We start from the raw sequence: 20263 nt of genomic DNA on the forward strand, positions 1-20263 counted from the left end.
CGCTCTTTGGAGGCATTCGTTGCATTGTTTCAATCTCCTCCCTCTACTCCTGACCACTCTATGCCACATTTGACATGGCAATGCACCTTCCTCTTTCTTACCTCAAATTCTGTGGCACTTTTGAGGCTCTGACTTAGTCTTTTATGTCTCTTTGTATTATGCTACCTTGGAGACCGCATTCTTTTGCAAACTTAAAAGTACAAATTCTATGGCAAAAACCTTTCTGTAAATTCTTCTTTGACACCTGTATCTTAATCCTGTCACTCACTTCTCTGCTTTACTGTTTCAATGTTAGCAAAATTGCCAACTAAATCTTTAGTTTCTTATTGTTCATTGTGGATTAATATTAAGTCCTTAAGCAGACTAGGAATGTCTTTAGGGAAGGAGGCATACCATGTCCATTATTTATTTATTTTTAATAGCACACAACACATTTCTTGAACTTACCATATTTCAGTGGTTCAATAAATGCATGCATGTCCATAGATAGACAATGTATACTGAAAACACAGCATCAGTATTAATTTACGATCTTAGATGAGCCACTTGTATTGTTTAATATATTATTGGAATTAGGAAGGAAGAGGCAGGTGGCAGATCCCTATCCCATACTCCCTTACCCCCTTCTTGCTTTAATGTGCTTTCTTTTGCCAGTCTTGCTTCCTATTGTGCCTTTCCCTTCACATCTAAATATACAACGTTAAGCTAGAAAAGTACTATAAGAATACTAAACCTAGTTGAGAAAATAAAGAGAAAAAAATATAAACCATGGGCAAATCGTCTTCTTGAATATTCTTCTCTCAATATTTTAAAATTAAGATGTATGATTTTGATGATCTAGAATAAAACCAATCTCCCTAACATATTTTGCATATAGTATCTGTTTTGGCCTTTTTTCAGATACAGTATCATTTCAAGTTATTATTGCTTAAGAAATTTATGTTTGTGGTCACAAATTCAAACATTACCAAATTGCACCAAATAAAAAAATGAAATGACCTTCTCTGGTTAGATTAAACTTGTAGCACATTTATTCCTCTAATATACAAAGGTTTTATTAGTGAATTGTTTTTTTAAAAAAAGAAGATAAATGGAATCCAACAACAGCAATATATATTTTCCAGTAAAATTTTATCTATGTGATCATAAAATTCATTTATGCTTTTTATTAATCAGTGAGAGAAGTAATGCTGTCAGCAAAAGTGGGTTATAGCTCTATCACAAAGTTCTAAAAGCAGCCATGGAACCTATGCATTTTTTCATGTTTTCAGTTAACATTACTTGGGGTATAAAATGCTATTGTGTTGTCAAGTGAATTGATTCTAATCACAGCTGTTTTCTGTGAATTAAATCACCAAGAAAACTCAATCACCAACCAAAGACTTTTAAACAATAAAATCCCATTTGTGGTTGAAGATCAAATTTAAGAACGCTACTGGATATTCATTTATTTTGTCACGTTTAATTTTCTACTCTGACTCTCAGTTTCTTAAAGAAACAAATATTTAATATCTCCCCAAAGCCAATATCTGCTGTGTAGTGGGTTCATATCTTAGCACTGAGAGTTAAATAATTGTGTGTAGAAAAAAATAGGATATACAGTGATTGAATTTTCACTTCATGGAAAATGGCAGAAAAGCTAGCTATTTGCTTGCTTTCATTCCTTTACTATTTCAGAAACAAACACATCTCTAACTTCAAGTGAAATTAATTAGTTACTTAGGGAGATATATATCTATATATCTCTCTATATATACCTTTGCTTTTTGGGTTGTGGCACTTATGCTAAAGTTATCCTCTGGGTTTCCTTATATGGGTCATGCCATAAAAATATCCATTTGAGGGCTGCTCAGGTGAGACTCTCTGAGAGAGCCGTTATACTGTCTGTGCATCCTTCGTCCTTGTCACATCATAATGTTTTCATTCAACCTCTTTGTACAGATCAAGGAGAGAATTGTTATGTATGTATAAAGTTATGAATTGTTTTGTACTAGCGACCAAACTCAGGGAATTTATCGCAACGGGTATTCCATAATGGCTTGGCACTAGGTCAGAAGCCATTGTCAGCAAATCAATTTATGTTACTTAGGGTGTCTCTTGCAGCAGGACAGGCAGATTCAGGCTGAAGGTGTTGAGAAGGCTAAAACCTTCTCAAACAGCAGCGATGTTTAAAGTGTAGCTTTATTACCTGCATACGTGGCACTGTGCTGGTAGAAATGAGAATGGAAGAAAAACAGAACATTGGATTATTGGTTAAGGAATGGCATTTTATTCTTTCCTTCATAAGTTTTATCTTAAACCTTGAACATCTGGCTTTGTGAAATTGAGCCCTGTGTCTGAATGACACAACAGAAGAGCAATTGCAAAGTCCTGTGTTCAGACAAGTCCTGAATATATATCTATTTCATTGTCATGGATTGTTTATCAGTGGCTGGAATGATTTTATATGTCCTTTAATTTAACAAGCAGTACCAAAAGCAAAACAGAAAAAAAAAACTCTTTGAGGCTGCATTTTAGAAATTCTTCAGTGTCATCTGGCACTGGGGACATTTGGTATTTCTTTCATTTCTTGCTGCTATACCCTCTTACACAAAGTCACAGGCTTAAGCTGTTTCCCTTCAACTGTGGGAAGGAAAAAAATTAATTTGAACATTTCATATATTTTAGGAAGAGTTTAGAAAATAGGGTCACATTTTTCAAATGTGCACGTCAGTTGCTTCTCCTCCTTGCCTTTTTCTATCTTCAAATTTGTTTTCCTTTAGTAGTTTTTAGTTAATTGTGAATGTTTACAGTATGGTTAGAGATAAAATAATTCTCTTACTTTTCTTTTCCATCGTCACACCTGAGACAAATGGGGGAAAGCAGACTTCAAACCACACACGATGTGTTTGATTTCTGCTCCTTTCAAATATCCATTTTATTTACCAAGAGGTAAAAACACTCTGAAAACTGGCAACATCTTATGTCCCACAGCATTACTTTTGATGAAATCCTGCTGTATTTTAGCCAAAACTTCTTTAGACAAACTATAACTGAGTCACGTCGACCCTCAGATGACATCAATCTTCACTCCTCTTCTATCCAACTACCGACTAGACACACGTACACATGCGTATGCACCCCACAGATCAAACTTATTTCATTTTCTCTACCTGTTGGTCACGGCCTTTTCTTCTTATAGCTTACTTTATTCCCATTATTAGACCTGTTTCCATGTTACTGAACCTTTTCCATCAAACCTCAAGTCCTTTATCTTTGTCAACAACTCCGTGAAGCTTTTATCAATCTGCCTGTCAGTAATCTCTCTCTTATCTGAACTCGGAATCTATAATCTGCAACACGGCACAGAGTATCAAACTATGTACTTGTTTTTGTTATCCTTTTAGCTGTTTTGTGTATGTTGATTTCCCCTGTAATTCCTCACACATTTTTTGTAGTCCCCAATGACTCTGAACCGACAGCAGTTAGTTTTTAAATATGAATACCCTATTTAAGGATCAATTTCTGCACACTTTCAAAGCTTTCTTTAGGATAATTATGTCACCATAAGTGAATTAAGGTTCCTCACCTTCTCCATGGAGCTTTGCATAGTACTTTAGTTGGATCATAAAGAAATGCCCTGAATTATAGGATGGGATCACTGCAAAGTCCTACTTGCATGTGAGCAAGGAGCAGAGTCTCTACAAGGTAACCTGTTACTTGGATATCTCTGAGGATATTAATGATAAAAAGGAGTGGCCAGAGGAAAGACTTTTCGCTTCTCAATTGCAGCACTGTAACTAAGTGACTTCTGGTAGATCAAATAGACTATTTTGGGGATTCCTGCTCACCCATCTCCTCTGTGTTTTCAGAGCTGCTGTAGAGCTGTTAGAACAGTGAACTGATGCTTTTTGACTTGCCAAACAGTGGGAGCTTTCTATTTAAATAGTTATCCCTTAGAAGAGCTATATTAGGGAGCTCAAAGGAAAGGATTTAAGGGCCCACACAGAGTAGAGAGGCAGCAGATCAGCCACCTACTGGGCCCTTGTTCCTTCGAATGCTTCAAACTACATATTTGTAAGGCAGAAGGCCTCCTGCTCACAGAACTGTATGCTCCTCACCTGCCCTTTTGTATTTAGCAAACACATGGGAAGGGCAGCTCTTCCCTGCTGTCTAACTTGTCTCTTGTTGTTCTTCGGAAGCAATCCCTCACAGCCCAGTGGGCAGAGAGCCAGGTGTGCTGAATGCACCTAGGGGATGTGGTCATGGGAGGAGATCCTTCAGGGGCAAGGGGATCAAATTTGACTTAGTATGTGGTCATTTTCCAAGTGACAGATGTGTAAAATGCCAGTAGACTAAGAACCCAAAGGAGCTAATCAAAATGCGTGTGTGTGTGTGTGTGTGTGTGTGTGTGTGTTTTACCAAGAATCTATATAGGTGCTTTCTTATGCCTTTATTAATATCTGTTCAAATTCTACTAAGTCATACTGCCAAGCTTATTTTGATAAGGGAATCAGTTTATTTATTTCACCAAGGTTATAACTATATTGGATAGAGAAATTGGGATTATTTTCTTAGCTTTTAAGCCCATAATAACTTTATTAAGTCCACAGAGAATAGTTTATGCTCTATTGTTGCTGTAATAATTTATTTTTCTTGTACCCATTCCATGGGGAAACATACAAACACCAGGAAGATACAGAAAATATGAGTTAGAGTTGGGAGACTCACTGTCCTGCCAGATAAAGGTCTCTTTCTAAATCTCATTGAAACCTGACATTCAGAAGTAGGCCAGAAAATAGGCCTAGCTATCTACACAGATATCTCTTTTTGTATTATCATTAAACATCTCCTAGGAGGCAGCAAGCTCTGTGGTGGGCTGACATAAATTCTGCCATTACATTTTTGTTTCTTTTTTATTATATGTGTATTATTATGAACTATTTTAAACATAAAGAAAAGCTAGAAAAATATGACAAAATCATTTCAACACCCAGATTTAGCATATGTTAATGTGTTGTCAAATCTTCTCCAACTTTCTTTTTCTCTCTTTTTTTAAAGCAAATGAATGTTAAAGATACAGCTAAAGCCTCCCTCTCCATCCCCTCTTTATGCCACTGTGTTTCTTATATAATTATTACATATAAGGTTGCTAACTCTTAGGAGTGAATTTCTTTCTTAAGTCCAAGGACCATCTCCTGTCTTAGGTTTTTCACAAAGGGGCAAATCAGAACAGTACTACTCTACTGAGTGTCAAATTTAATTGTCTCCTCCTCTGGTGTCACTGGTGTGCAAATACTTTCCCCCTTGGGAAGGATATCTGGGGTTGTCTAAAGGGCAGCAATCTCTATCTAGCATAACAGTTTCAAAGTGCAAGAGCTGTTTATGACCTACCTGAAACCATGCACCACTGTCATTCAGACCTTCGCCTTTTGTTCTGAGCCGCCCTGATGTGATCATTCATTTTGCTCTGTGCCTTTTTCTTTTTAGCATCCTATCATGAATAGCTTGATTGACTCTTCTCATCTCTTGGGTCCTGGATCTACAGAATAATTTAATAAAATGAGGTAAGGTAGATTAATAACTGGCTTAAAATCAGACTTTTGGCTATCCCTATTTTGTAACTGATGCTATACTCTCCCCACTCCCTGGGATACATCATGTTCTCTTAGCTTTGTGTCTTCCCAAATCAAAATATAGAACAAAAGTGAAGAAGTGGAAGTTGGCAGCTATGTGGTTTGGGTATTGAATTGTTCCCACATCAAAAGATTTATGAACTGTGCATTTTAAACAGTTCTCAGTTCATGGCTCCCTTTAACTAAATTGAGAAAACAGGTAAGGAAAGTGAGGCAAATGCTAAAGAAAATGGCCTTGACTGTTCAATCTAGCATTAAAGATAAAGATTTAATGAAGGTAGGTTTAGGACTTATAATTTTGAGTCTTGAAAACCCAACTTTTAAAGGATTAAACGGGAGGGTGGGGAGTAAATTCAAGTTTATGTGGTGGTTCTCCTCCTCTGTCGCTCGCTAATGCAGCTCTTCTGAAGGATAGAAATTTAAATAGAAAGCTCTCACTGCTTAGGAAGCAAAAACATTAAGAAATTGCTTTAACAGCTTTACGGAATCTGCCATTTTCATCCTGACTACAGTGCTACAAAGTGAGCAGTAATCTCTGGGGTAGGAGCACGGCCCACAGTCAACACCTATGCTCACTCTGTGCTTTTTACACTTTTAGTTTTCATTTTCCTTAATCAATATTTACCAGGCGACAGTCACAGCTTTAGCAGCTTCTGTTTTCTACCAATCTTTCTGTTGCTGATACTTCAGACATTTAATAATTTCCTTGTCTATAATAATTTCTGTGCTAGTTCCTTTTATAAATATCTGCAGTATGTGTACCTAATTTCTGGGATCAGGTGCACATCTGAAAAATTGGGATTCCTTAATGAATGTTGGCATTCAAAAATCTCCTCCAGTACTCTTACTTTATTGGGTCACATCATTTTCTTTCTTTTTTTTTTTGACATCATTTTCTTTGTTGTTTATTTTAAGCAATCCTCTTTCAGACAATTGTCACTTACAAGGTTAGCTACTGCTGTGAAGCAAACCATCACAAAATGTAGTGGATAAAACAATAAGGTCGCCCGTCTGAGCAGTTCTTCTGATTTGGGCTGGGCTAAACTGGATCTCGCTGGAGCATGTCCAAGTGTCTGTAGTCAGTTATAGAGGGGCTGCGGGCTGGCTCATCTGGCTGTCACCTGGGTCATGTAGCTCTGATAATCCAGCAGGTCAGCCTGGGTTTGCTTTTATCTGATGGTCACAATGTTCTGAGTGAGAGAAGAAGAAACATGAAAGGTCTCTTAAAGGGTAGGCTCAGGACTGGCAGATTGTGATGTCTGCTGCAATCTATTAACCAAAAGAAGTCACAAGGCCAGTACAGATGTAAGGGCAGGGGAAATGGACTCTGCCTCTTTAGTGAGAAGAATTTCAAAATCACATTGCAAAGTGTGTGGACACAGGGAGGGGCAAAGAATTGTGGTGTTTTTGCCATCTGCCTCTTGCACTTAACCTTCTCCCATGACATAGTTGTCTCAAGTAATTTCCCTTCTGGGAGCAGCTGTTTTGATATACAGGAAATATTGATCCATCATACTCTGAAGAAAATTGCAGCACAGAAAGGATTATTTAGGCATCATAGGTGGTCATGAGAATAAGAAATGCTGAAGCCTTAAGCAGATGAGCTTTAAGCAGCTGAGCCCTTTATGTTCTTAAGTGAAGCATTTTTATTCTTCCAAGCATCAACTGTAGTCTTGTTTTCACCAGATGAAAGCAACTCCAAGTCAAATGCATGAAACTGCACTAAAATTGTGATGCATTTGGTTACTCTGTATCATGTGTGGACAAAATAAATACCCTGATATGGAGCACAGATTATACACACATCGTTTCTCTGAATTCATAGCTATGCAAACAGTTCCTTACGGTTGACGGGTTTTATTTTTTATCTACTGTGATTAAGTTGCAGTTTAGCCTTGCATTATCTCATCTAAAACATTTTAGCTTTTCTTTTTAATTCTTATTCTCTAACTCATTAAAACTTTTTTAGGGCTTTGCTAGCCGATTCCATTTCTTCATTTTATCCTAGGAAGAAGACCAGCAAAATAAATGTGGATATTAAATAATATGTATTATCATTTTGCAAAATCAAAATGTTTTACATGAGACTACTAAATAGCAAGTTCATAGTTTGAGGGACGATGATTTTGCCAATGAGACAGAATTCTCTCATAACACACTTAGGGGGCATATCACATGAGGGTACCTTGCATAGTACACAATTGGAAAGTAGGAGAATAAATAGTGTGAGTAGGAGACATTTATGCAAAGAAAAGGCGCCCTTGTTTCTTGACTTTGCTTTAGTATAGAAATATAAAGTTTGTGGCTTGAAGGGACCTTAATTATTTCATGGTTTATTCCTGCTAAAACTTCTAATGATGGGAAACTCACTATACCTAAAGAAGCAAAGTCCATTTATCTAAGTGGACGATTGGGTGGTCATCACTGGGGGACCTTACTATGTGTCATTGTTTTTATCTTCATGAAAGACATGATCTATTAAAGAGATGGACATGGAAAGTATCACAGCAAAATATGCTATGTACCAAAATATAATACACACTTACCTTGGGGACCAAACGGAAAGTGAATTTATTATCCAGTTTACTAGTCAGAACTTGATAATTCTCTAAATAGGTAGGATAGTGGAGATGGAAGAGCTAAAGATGGTAGATGCTGTCTACTGAAATTGGGACTATCTAATAAGCATGATTACCGGGAGCATGTCAGAACATTCTGTGTATCCATGGTGGTCAATGACTTAAATCTACATCCATTTTCAGAGATCAAATTCCATTCCTGGCCCATTACAGAAACACTACCTGGGCCTCGAGTGAGCAAATGCCAAGAAGCTATTTAACAATAGGCAAGCACGGCAAAGAGAGGCTTAAAATTGGCGAAAAGTGCTTCCTTTGCAGTCATCCTATTCAACTTGTGGCAGCTTTGAAACAGCATCATGAATTATTATTTTAATATTACAAATAAACTTTATTCTTCTCAGCAACTTGCCTCCTGATATGTTAAAAATATACAAAACTCAGTTTGTCAATTCCTGGGAAATTATTGTCATAGCGGGGAGCCATACCAAGGAAGTTTAAAAGAACAATGATAACAATATAAAAAACTGCAGGAGAAAAGCCATAAAGATAGGTTTCAAGGCACACTTTTCTATCTTCCTTTTCACTGTTGATTTGCAGTCAGTGATAGATCGACTTTTTTTTTGTTTGTTTCATTTGTCCTCTTCCTTTCACTAATCTGGGCTTTATTTTTGTTTCAATTTTCCCTAGCTTTCTTCCCAGATAATAACTATTTCCTTTTCCCAAGCCCTAATTCACACTTTATCATTCTCTCACTGAAGTGCCTTTCACAGCAATCCAATCAGGACACTTCTGTTCAGTTTGTTCCAAGGGGCTTATTTGATCATCATCAAGAAGATAATTGTCTATCCTTAGAGCTGGGCTAAACAAAAGGGTGAAGCAGGTTGTGCACAAATTCACAAGACTCCATTATCATTCCCCTGCAGACTCCCAGCTGCACTTTTACTCAACCCGTCTGCCTTCTTCCCCTTCAGGCCACCTTGGTTGAGCTTCTTCAGCTGTCCCTGCTTCTATTTCATCCACCTGTTTTCATCCTTCATGCTTTCCTAATTCAGGTTTTCTATTCGTCTACTGCAACTGATATTTTCTAGCAATTTTAAGGAGGATAAAAATAATTCTTGAGTGAAATAATTCATACTAGGCTGAGAGTGAATGATTTCAGATGTATAGGAGGTGTGTTATAAAATGATTTATTAAATGTGAAGAAATTCCTAGTGAAAATATACATCGATATATTATGTGGGGATCATGGGTGCCTCTATGAATTAATTCATTCAGAAATGTTCATTAAATGCCTAACTCATTGCTAACGGTGAAGAAGCCAAACATATTCCCTTTCCCACCTCTTCTCATGGAGCTTACATTCAAATGGGCAAGATAGGTAGTGTCTTAGCCTGGATTTCCCTGTAATAAGCAGCGCTAAGACAAGGCTTTAGATGCAGGTTTATATTGGGAAAAGAAACCAAAGGATCAGGAGTAGAAGATGGATAACAGTGAGAGAAACAGAAGGAAGGAAGGGTATGTCACTGAGCTAGACTCAATCCCATCAGGAGCCTCTTGAGAAGCCATACAGAGTGTACAGTGGGCTTGTCTGCCACAGATACCTATTGGCTCCATCCCCCATTGGTCACAGGCTGCCCCACACATGGTTCACTGTCTTGTGCCTGTGCTTTTTGGAATGTGTCAGTTGGTTCCTGAAATTGTCCCACTAAGATATGGCAGAGAAATAAATAGTATAGGTGAGGAGAGACATTTTCAGAATAATCTGCACAAAGCTGATGGTTGCACCAACAGCTGGAATATAAAGGTAAATGAAGAAGATATAAGAAAGGGCTCAAGAGGTGTCCGATACAAAGAGCAATAAAATAAAATAAATATCTAATTGCACACTGTAATAAGTGCTCTAGGGTAAAGGGTACCAGGAGAGCATATGCACAACACAATCCAAAATAGTGGTATAGACCATAGGGGTGAAAAATTCCTTCAAACCGTCATGGTTCCTTGACATGACCAAATGTTTGTAGTGCTACTAAGTAAAATGTGTTGAAGATTAAAGCCCATTTTTAATTTTACTATTTAGCTATCCTGTTCCTAGGTAAACGTCAAATCCCCCAAATCTTTAAGCTTTTCTCCAAAGTAGATTTTCTTCCAAAGATTAAGAAGGTTTCAACACTATTTTAGACAAAGGACTTCTGACTATCCTAATACCTCCCCAAACTACTACATTGAAAACCTTATTGGGAGACATAAGTACTCCTAGCTTTGTTTAACGTTAAGTGGAAAAAATGTAATATAGTTGAGAGGTCAAGAGCCTGTGCTCAAAAGACTCCGATTTAATATTGGCAAGACTCATGAGCTATACCTCTTTGTATCTGAATTCCTTATTTGTGAAAGGGGAATAACATTATCACTTGCTCGCATAGGTTAAAAGGTGATTAAGTAAGGAAACACAGATAAAACTTATAGAAAAATGCCAGGCATATGGTATAATCTCACTTATTAGCAAATGTATTAATTTACTAGGGCTGCCATAATAAAATACCACAGAATGGGTAGTTTAAGCATCAGAAATTTATTTCTGTACAGTTTTGGAGTCTAGAAACCCACAATCAAGGTGTCGTTAATGGTGGTTTCTGGTGAGGCCTCACTTCCTGGTTAGTGGATATCTATCTGCCTTCTCACTGTGTCTTTATATGATCTTTACTGTGTGTGTGCATCCTTTGGTATCTCTTCCTCCTCTTATAAGGACATCAGTCCTATTGTATTAGATCTTCACCCTTACAACCTCATTTAACCTTAATTACCTCTTTAAAAGCCCTGTTTCCAAATACAGTTACATTGGTGGGTAGGGCTTCAACATGTGATTATTATGGGCCCACAATTTAGTCAATAACAGCAAGTGGTGTAATTTTTACATGAAAATGTCATTTCCTAGAAGGGGGCTTTTAAAAACTTTTTAGTCTCAGGATTCCTGTTATACTTCCAAAAATTCTTGAAAATGCCAAAAAGCTTTTGTTTATGTGGGTTATATCTATCGATATTTACCATGTCAAACATTAAAATTGAGAAATTTAAAATATATGTATTTATTTATTTGAAAATACCAATAAGACCTCCCATTACAAATTAACATTATTTTAGGGAAAATAACTACATTTTCCAAAACAAAATAAATTTAGTGAAGAGTGGCATTGTTTTCCAGTTTTGTAAATCTCTTTAATATCTATCTTTATACAAGCTGCTGAATTTGCATATCTGCAACTATAGCCAACTTGTTATGATACCTCATGAAATGTAACCTCTAGAAAACTTCACTGTATGCTTTTTTTTTTTTTTTTTTTTTTGACGGAGTCTCACTCTGTCAACCAGGCTGGAGTGTGGTGGTGCATTGTCTGCTCACTGCAGCCTTCGCCTCCTGGGTTCAAGTGATTCTCCTGCCTCAACCTCTTGAGTAGCTGGGACTACAGGTGCCCGCCACCACACCTGGCTAATTTTTGTATTTTTAGTAGAGACGGGTTTTCGCCATGTTGGCCAGAATGGTCTCGAACTCCTGGCCTCAGGTGTCGTGCCCACCTTGACCTCTCAAAGTGCTGGGATTACAGGCATGAACCACCACACTTTGCTACACTGTACTCTTTTGAAAGAATGAGAGCAAAAAAGGCAAATAGCATTTTGGTATTATTATGAAAATAGTACAGACTTTGCAGAGCCTCCAAAATCTCCTGAGGACCATTGGTGGTCCCTGTAGCACACATTTGAGAACCACTGCCTTAAAGCTTAAGAACACTCCCAAATCAATGAGGTTTGTAATTTTGGCATCCTACTTTTGAAAGGCTCCCCAACTCCTTTAAGTTCAATACCACATTTTAGTGTTTTGTGCTAATAATAGTAAATATTGACTTTTTTCCACTTGCAGAGAAATACCAAACCATGGCATACAGATGGATTTCACTTGCAAGTTATATTTGATGATATTTTTCACTTTATACTTCTTCATTGTCCACAATGAGAATGAGACAGAACTATTTTTGTGATATCTGTTGGGCAATCCTTCAGTGAACTGGTTCAAATAATGTGTTTTCTTGAAAACTGCTGCTGTAACATATCTGTTTTGCTACTAAAGAAATTCAGCCTATGAATATTATTACATCTTTGAAGTGAACTTCATCCTAATGGTCAAAAAGTTGGGAGCCAACTGTATTGAACATTTATTTTTTACCATTATGTAAAACAGACCATTCATTTACTCTTTTGAAGATGACAATTTAATTTGTTAAAGTTTTATTTTATTTTTAATCGAAAAATAATTGTGTATATTTATGGGATGCAATGTTATTTTAATGACCACATTAGGCCACATTTCAATAGCTGATAAAAAAGTTCCCAACACTTAATTGCTTTTACTAAAAATACTAAATATTTAAAGATTGATTATATCATAGAATTTTTTTTTTTAACTGAGACGCAATCTCATTCTGTCTCCCTGGCTGGAGCGCAGTGGTGCTATCTATCTGGGCTCATTGCAACCTTCACCTCCCAGGTTCAAGAGATTCTCCTGCCTCAGCTTCCCTAGTAGCTGGGACCACAGGTGTGCACCACAATGCCTGGCTAGTTTTTGTATTTTTAGTAGAGATCATGTTGGCCAGGCTGGTCTTGAACTCCTGCAACCTCAAGCCATCTGCCTGCCTAGGCCTCTTAACATGCCGGGATTACAGGCATGAGCCACCACGCCAGGTCTGGTTTTGGTTATTTATATATATATGTGTGTGTGTGTGTGTGTGTATATGTATATATGTGTATATATACATATACACGTATGTACACGTATATACGTATACACGTATGTATACATATATACGTATGTATATATACACGTATTTATATATGTATATATGTGTATATATGTATATATGTGTGTATATATGTATATATATGTGTATATATATATGAGCTCCTCAAGCACAGAAATAAGTCATAAATACTGTTTTTATTTTCCCCAACTCCTGCCAGGTTGAATTTCAGAGTTGATGCTTAATAAGTAATTTTGAAATTAAGTTTAATAGAATATATGTAATTATTATTTTGTGTCACAATGATTCTACCATATTCCCTGTCTTTCTAATTTTTTAGTCCTTCTTTTGTTTTATTTTCCCCTCATTTTATCACGTTTTTCTCTTACTTTTATTCTTTCTATTTTTTTTAACCTCTTATCAATCACTTTGGACTCAAACTTTCTGAAATCACGTTCTTTACTTTTTAATTAATATTTGTTCCTGGTTTTACAATTATTTTAATTATATCATTTATACCTACTTTTCTCAGATATTTTCAAATGATATTTGGAGACAATTCTCCATATGGCTTAGCTTTTCTGTATGTCTTGTTAGAAGAGGCACCGAATGCCTTTTTTATGAACTCTTTGCACTATCTTGGGAGATAGAAATAATATCTCCCTTTGGAGCAAGAGGAAGACATGTTTATTGTTTACTGTGAAAGATTTGAGTTCTCTAAGATCAAAGTTTCTCTCCTATAATGTACCTATTGCATGTGCAAATATCATCCATCTCTCTTCATGTCAACCTGTAGGAATTAGACCTTGGGAAACTGGCACAAAATGTGAGTACTCTGGCTACTGTTTTTGCTGTGAGTAATGTTTAAGCCATTTTTTGTTTCTGACTCAAGAGTTTCATGTCTTCTGTTGGCATCCATGAAACTGTGGCAGGCTAACCCATTACCTTGCAAGTAGGGTACAATCTCAGATTTTGTTATAGACATCAATGACTTACGATGATTTGATCTTTGACTTATGATGGTTCAACTTCGATGTTTTTACTTTACCATGGTGTGAAAGTGCCACACATTCAGTAGAAACTGTACTTCAAGTACCCATACAACCATTCTATCCTTCGCTTTCAGTACATGAGGTAATCAATAAGTTGCATGAGATAGTCAACACTATTTTTTTATATATAAAATAGGCTTTGTGTCAGATTATTTTGCCCAACTGTAGGCTAATGTGTTCTAAGCATGTTTAAGATAGGCTAGGCTAAGCTATGATGTTTGGTAGGTTAGGTGTATTAAATATATTTTTGACTTACTATATTTTCAACTTACAATGAGTTTATTGGGACACAACCCCATTGTAAGTTGAGTTATACATGAGTTAAACATGGTTGGAGTTTGCGGCTAAAGCTTTTGGATTACTTTTACCCCATCGTAACTTTATCATGGCGTGTGTGTGTGTGTATGTGTAGCCCGGCAGGCATGGCCATCCACTGAATACTTTGTCTTGTATTATAATTGCTCTTATTTTTCATATTACATAGGCAAGTTTCCTTCACAAGTACAGTGTTTTCTTGTCTTCCTCCAAGAACTTTTTACTCTCCTTTCATTGTCAGGTCTCATTATAAGGCTTAGCAGATTCATTTTAAAAAGCAAACCTATTATTTTTTGTATATTTATCTAGTCTATTGGTCTATCCGTATTTTTCCATATCTCCAAAAGCATCAGCATAGCCATTCTTACCCACAAAGCACTGTTGACCAACTTATGTTTAGATGTGGCATTATTTTCCCACCTGGAATGTCATCTCTTTCTTTTATCTATGTTTCTTCCATTTCTTTTAAAACTTACTTTCTCTACAGAGGCTTTTGTGAGTAATCCCAAATAAGTTTACTCATTAAGCATTTATTTTTTGATAATTATATTACTAATATTCATTGATTGCCTACTATAATTCCAGGCAGAGTGAGCAAACCACCACAGAACTTGAATACCATCTTGGAAGTTAGTATCTTATAAATCAACATACATTCAATTTGATCTATGTTATTTGGATTTAAAGATACATAATTTTTTATTTTTCATGTTGCCTCCCTGATTTCATTGGAAATTCTTCCAAGGCAGGCAACTGTGTCTTTTTCCTTAACTAATAATAGTTTAAGCCCATAAAACCTTTTCTCTCTCTTCAAGCAATAAGAAAAAATCAGGCTGTCCAGCAGTGCAGTGCAATGATTCCATCAGGGACTTGACTACCATCTGGCTTTCTGCTCCACCATGGTTAGTGTGTGGCTTTCAGCTTCATGATTGTAATTGGGCTGATATACCTCTGGACCTCATGGCCATGTTCAAGGGAGGAAGAAGGAATAAGGGATAGAGCAAAAGGGGATTGTCTGGGGTCAAAATCCTTCCAACCTGAGACATCAATTTCAGAAGTTTTCCCCAAAATGCTATATAACATTGTCTCACTGATCACAACTGGGTCAATCACCACCCCTAGCTACAAGGAAGTTTGAGAAGGTGAATACGCTTAACTAAGCATATGGACACTTTACACAAAATCAGAGGTTTTTTTAAATAAGAATGGGACAAGATATGTTGGTTAGAGACTAACAATGTTTGCCGTACCACCAAACTCAACAGTGGCATAAGGATCCTTAAAGCTACAGGATAAATAAAAAGCATCTTCTTAGAGCATCTTATTAGAAAATTTGAAGGAAAACTTCTCCCTAAAACAAACATGGGGTAGAATACAGATAAGATATGAATATTTAAGGTTGAAATTGGGTGAGATAAAAAAATTCTCACCTTTTGCCATGTCCCCCACCTCCTTCATGTGCCACAGCCACACTGGTGTCTTTCATTTCTTATTCTAATCATAGCCCTTTCTAATCTCTGATTTTTCTGCCAGAAATGCTCTTCCCTCCAAATTTTAAATAAATGGGCAGATCTCAACTTTAAACTTAACAACAACAACAAAAAAGGTTCTCAGAGAGATATTCCCTGTCCAACCAGATATAAAATCCCAGTCACTTTCTGTGATATTTTCAATTTAGTATTTATCACTACATGTTTATTGTGTGCCCTCCACCCCACCCCCAGAATAATGTAAGCTTCATGCAAGCAAATGCAGTTAGGTGCTGTTTATCCTAGCAAAGGGCACAGGAAAAGGTAGGCTCTCAGTATGAAGCAGGGCACAAGAAGTATTCAATACACTGTTAGATTTTCACTGAGATATTTATGCTTGAAACTAATCTGGAGTCTTTCTTCTCCTCTCTTAGAACATTGCATCAAAGAATATCAAGTCAATAGGATATTGGATATTTTCAGGGAAAAAAGACAAAGACTAGGCTGATTGAAAATCACTGTAACATTTGTTGTAAAACATTGTGTTTGCGTCCTACTGTTGCTGTATAAATATATTTTCAAGCTCTTTTTGTGAATATCAAATGAGGAACAATAGACAAACCACTAGCTTGTGAAAACATTTTGATCCCATTTTAGTCAATGATTAATTTTGTAAGACATAAGGCTTTGCCTCTGTCTTCTCACTGCCAGGCCATTATTTTAGTGTTCATCCCCAAAACCATACTTTTTAAAAACTGGATATTAATGCCATGTAAATGTTAAGAAAATATTTAGCTCAGGAATTCATAGACAAGATTCTTGTTGTATATATCTTGGAATTTTTCTTGGGACACAACTGGAAGTTTCTCTATTTATTCAGGACATAAAATAACCCACTTCTTAGGGGGAAGGTTCCAGGTCAACAATTTAATGATTTTTAAACAAATATCCTACAGGGAAAGGGAAGATTTAGAAGAATTTTTTACATCCCTTTATACTTCATTAAAGCCTTTTTGGTGTATATTGTGAAATTATATGCCTAGTCCAGAATTAAGGACCTGGAATAGGCTAAACAAGAAAATACAGGTTAGTAGAGTTATAATTAATCCTCATAAGTCAGAGAATAAAATGGGCAAGAAGAGTAGTCAAGTACATTGAATAGAGTCTTCCATTAACGTAATTCAGAATTGCCCTGGCTTCCCAAGAGCATTTTCATGTTTCACTGGTCAAGTGAAATACCTACCCTGTCTTATCTCGATCTTCCCACATTACTTACTTCCTTATTAGGTTCCTCTGTAATTCTATTGACTGAAAATTCACTGCTGTGGAAATATATCTACTAGTGGAGTTAATCCAAACAATTTGGGCAATAGGAAAAATACATGCTTAATGATGTGTTTGCCTTCTCACTTAATTTTATTTCAGACCTACTAGATAGTCAATAAGGGATGGGAAATGACATTCTTGTGAAGGAGAGATGAAAATATTAATATATTAATATTATGTATTTAAGCGTAGGGATGATCTCGATATAGGCATATCATAAAGTACCTTAATATTTCATTGGCTGATTCATCAGAGTGAATCTATGTGGTCGTAAATGAATGGGAAGCATGTAAAAATCTTGTTTATCTAACATGCACACTAAAAAGGGTCCTCCAGGAATTAGAATCACTCAAAATTGTAAGTTGTGCCGCAATTTGTTGATGTAATTATATCAACATTTTTCTTGACGTCAGACCATTGTGGGTGGGAAGATTATGGTTTTGATGATCACACAGACATAGGCTTGAATATATTCTCTTATTGCTGGCTGTGTGACCACAGACAAGTTACATAAACACTCTGACTCTCAGATTCTTTTGTAAAGTGGGACTCCTTTCCTTTGAAGCATGAGCACAAAGATTGAAAGATACATAAAACACTTTAACATGTTGCCTGGCATGAAACAAGTGCTCATTATGTATTAATCTTCTTCCCATTCTCCCTCTGGGAGCAATGAGTGATTTAGAGTTTGTAATTCAGTTGAGAAGAAATTTCAGAATTGTATAAAAGGCAGTGTGCTTATATATTCATTCATTAGTCCCCTTATTATCAGAGTGTGTTATTTGCATTACATAGTTTAGCCATGGTGTGTATAATTTGAATTTAACTGGAAACAACATTCCTTTCACAAATGTTGTTTCCAACTCAATTACCTGACCTTCAGCTAGGTTAGAAGCATTGGCATTTCTAGTAATTTTGAAATTCCAAAAATGTAACCCCCATACTCTATGCTAATTTTCAAATCAGCAGTTGAATTGGCTGCTCAGTCACATTTGTTCCTAAAGACGGAAAATAAAAGTGTCTGTGAGAGGGCAGGCCTGGCTTAAATTCTGTCTTAACTTGAAGGATCTCAGAAGCAGACTCTGAGCCAGGGATTCCAGCGCAAGTAATTTATTAAGGAAGTACTCACAGGAAATACCAGTGAAGGATCAAAGAAGCAGAATAAAAAAGGGAAGAAGCCAAGCAAGGGTTCAATTTCAGGTGAAGTCTCTGACTCAGTCTGATCCTGTGGTGAGCCCTGGAACAAAAATTGTACCTCTGAGTTTGTCTTGTCTCAAGACATAGGAACTGTCTTCTTATAATCCAGAGCTAGTCAATCATGAACTGTAGTCTGTCCCAAGGAACATAAACTCTCAGGAACTTCTGGTTCTAAATTAGGGTGAGACAACTCTAGTATCCAAGGTCAAGTTTTAGAAGTTTCTGCTGTAAGCCCTTATCATGAATTACAGAACATATGGGATAAAACAAAGCACTGGTAAAGGAAATGAAGGGTATAGGAGCAGATCACTAATTGTGTCCAGTACACTCTTCTAGGTCCCTTGCATTTTCTGAACCAGGAACATATAGTGGCCATCATAGCATTACTAGTTCCCAGTAAGGTAAATTGTTTTAGTAAGTGAACAGTGCCCAAATATTTAGGACTTACTTGAACTGAACGTTGCATACTATGAATAGGCTATTTCATTGTACCTTAAGGGTTTCCAAGGATAATGTAAATATATGAACAATTAGTACTGTTATGATGACCAACATTTATTAAACACATAGGATATGCCAAGCCATATATTAGATGGTGTATATAGTTTCCTATGGTCTGTTTTTTGTTTGTTTGTTTTGTTTTGTTTTTTGAGACAGAGTCTTGCTCTGTCACCCAGGCTGGAGTGCAGTGGTGTCATCTCGGCTCATTGCAACCTCTGCCCCCCAGGTTCATGCGATCTTCCTGCCTCAGCCTCCTGAGTAGCTGGGATGACAGGTGTGCACCACCACACCCGGCTAATTTTTGTATTTTTTTTTTAGTAGAGATGAGGTGTCAACATGTTGGCCAGGCTGGTCTCAAACTCCTGACCTCAAGTGATCCACCCACCTTGGCGTCCCAAAGTGCTAGGATCATAGGCATGAGCCACCCCGTCCAGCCATATATACTTTATTATCTTATCAAACATTAGAAGCCTCATTTTAGTGATGAAGAAACTGAGCCTCAGGAAATTAAAAAAAAAAAACTCATAACTAGTAAGTGGTTAAACTAAAACTATATTCCTGGTGTAATCCAAAACCCTAGATCCTTCCAATAAGCAAAATTTTGCCCTTTAATTGCAGTAATAGAATCTGTGAAACACTAGGAAGCTACCAGTATTACTTATCTATGCTGCATATCAAATCCCCAAACTTAAAACAACAACAAACATTTATCATCCTCACAGTTTCTTTGGGTCAGAGATTTAAGAACAGCTTATCTGGGTAGCTCTGACTTGGTGTCTCTAATAAGATGGCCATAAAGATTTTGGCTAGGGCTGCAATCCTCTGAAGGCTTGACTAGAAATGTAGGATTTTTTTTTTTTTTAATTATACTTTAAGTACTGGGATACATGTGCAGAACATGTAGGTTTCTTACATAGGTATACACATGCCGTGGTGGTTTGCTGCACCCGTCAACCTGTCATCTACATTAGGTATTTCTCCTAATGCTATCCCTCCCCCAGCCCACCACTCCCCAACAGGCCCCAGTGTGTGACGTTCCCCTCCCTGTGTTCATATGTTCTCATTGTTCAACTCCCACTTATAAGTGGGAACATGTGGTGTTTGGTTTTCTGTTCCTGTGTTAGTTTGCTGAGAATGATGATTTCCAGCTTCATCCATGTCCCTGCAAAGGACATGACCTCATTCTTTTTTATGGCTGCATAGTATTCCATGGTGTGTATGTGCCACAGTTTCTTTATCCAGTCTGTCATTGATGGGCATTTGGGTTGGTTCCAAGTCTTTGCTAGTGTGAATAGTGCGTGCTGCAATAAACATATGTGTGTAAGTGTCTTTATAGTAGAATGATTTATAATCCTTTGGGTATATACTCAGTAATGGGATTGCTGGGTCAAATGGTATTTCTGGTTCTACATCTTTGAGGAA

General features: G+C 36.8%; 1 protein-coding gene across 1 annotated transcript in view, besides 2 other annotated features; it reads left to right on the plus strand.

Annotated features, from left to right (window-relative positions):
• IL1RAPL1 (interleukin 1 receptor accessory protein like 1) overlaps window positions 1-20263 on the plus strand; it is a 1369273-nt gene that overhangs the window by 33928 nt on the left and 1315082 nt on the right. The gene's annotated exons all lie outside the window — the stretch shown is intronic.
• Window positions 3481-4102: an enhancer, noted in NCBI's record as "OCT4-NANOG-H3K27ac hESC enhancer chrX:28642971-28643592 (GRCh37/hg19 assembly coordinates)". NCBI's record gives its function as "activates a minimal SCP1, AML or CMV promoter by ChIP-STARR-seq in naive and primed H9 embryonic stem cells {active_cell/tissue: H9 hESC(naive and primed)}" and the evidence as "EXISTENCE:reporter gene assay evidence [ECO:0000049][PMID:30033119]".
• Window positions 4103-4723: an enhancer, noted in NCBI's record as "OCT4-NANOG-H3K27ac hESC enhancer chrX:28643593-28644213 (GRCh37/hg19 assembly coordinates)". NCBI's record gives its function as "activates a minimal SCP1, AML or CMV promoter by ChIP-STARR-seq in naive and primed H9 embryonic stem cells {active_cell/tissue: H9 hESC(naive and primed)}" and the evidence as "EXISTENCE:reporter gene assay evidence [ECO:0000049][PMID:30033119]".

The sequence above is a fragment of the Homo sapiens genome, chromosome X (genome assembly GCF_000001405.40).
Source record: "Homo sapiens chromosome X, GRCh38.p14 Primary Assembly".
Taxonomy (NCBI): domain Eukaryota; kingdom Metazoa; phylum Chordata; class Mammalia; order Primates; family Hominidae; genus Homo; species Homo sapiens.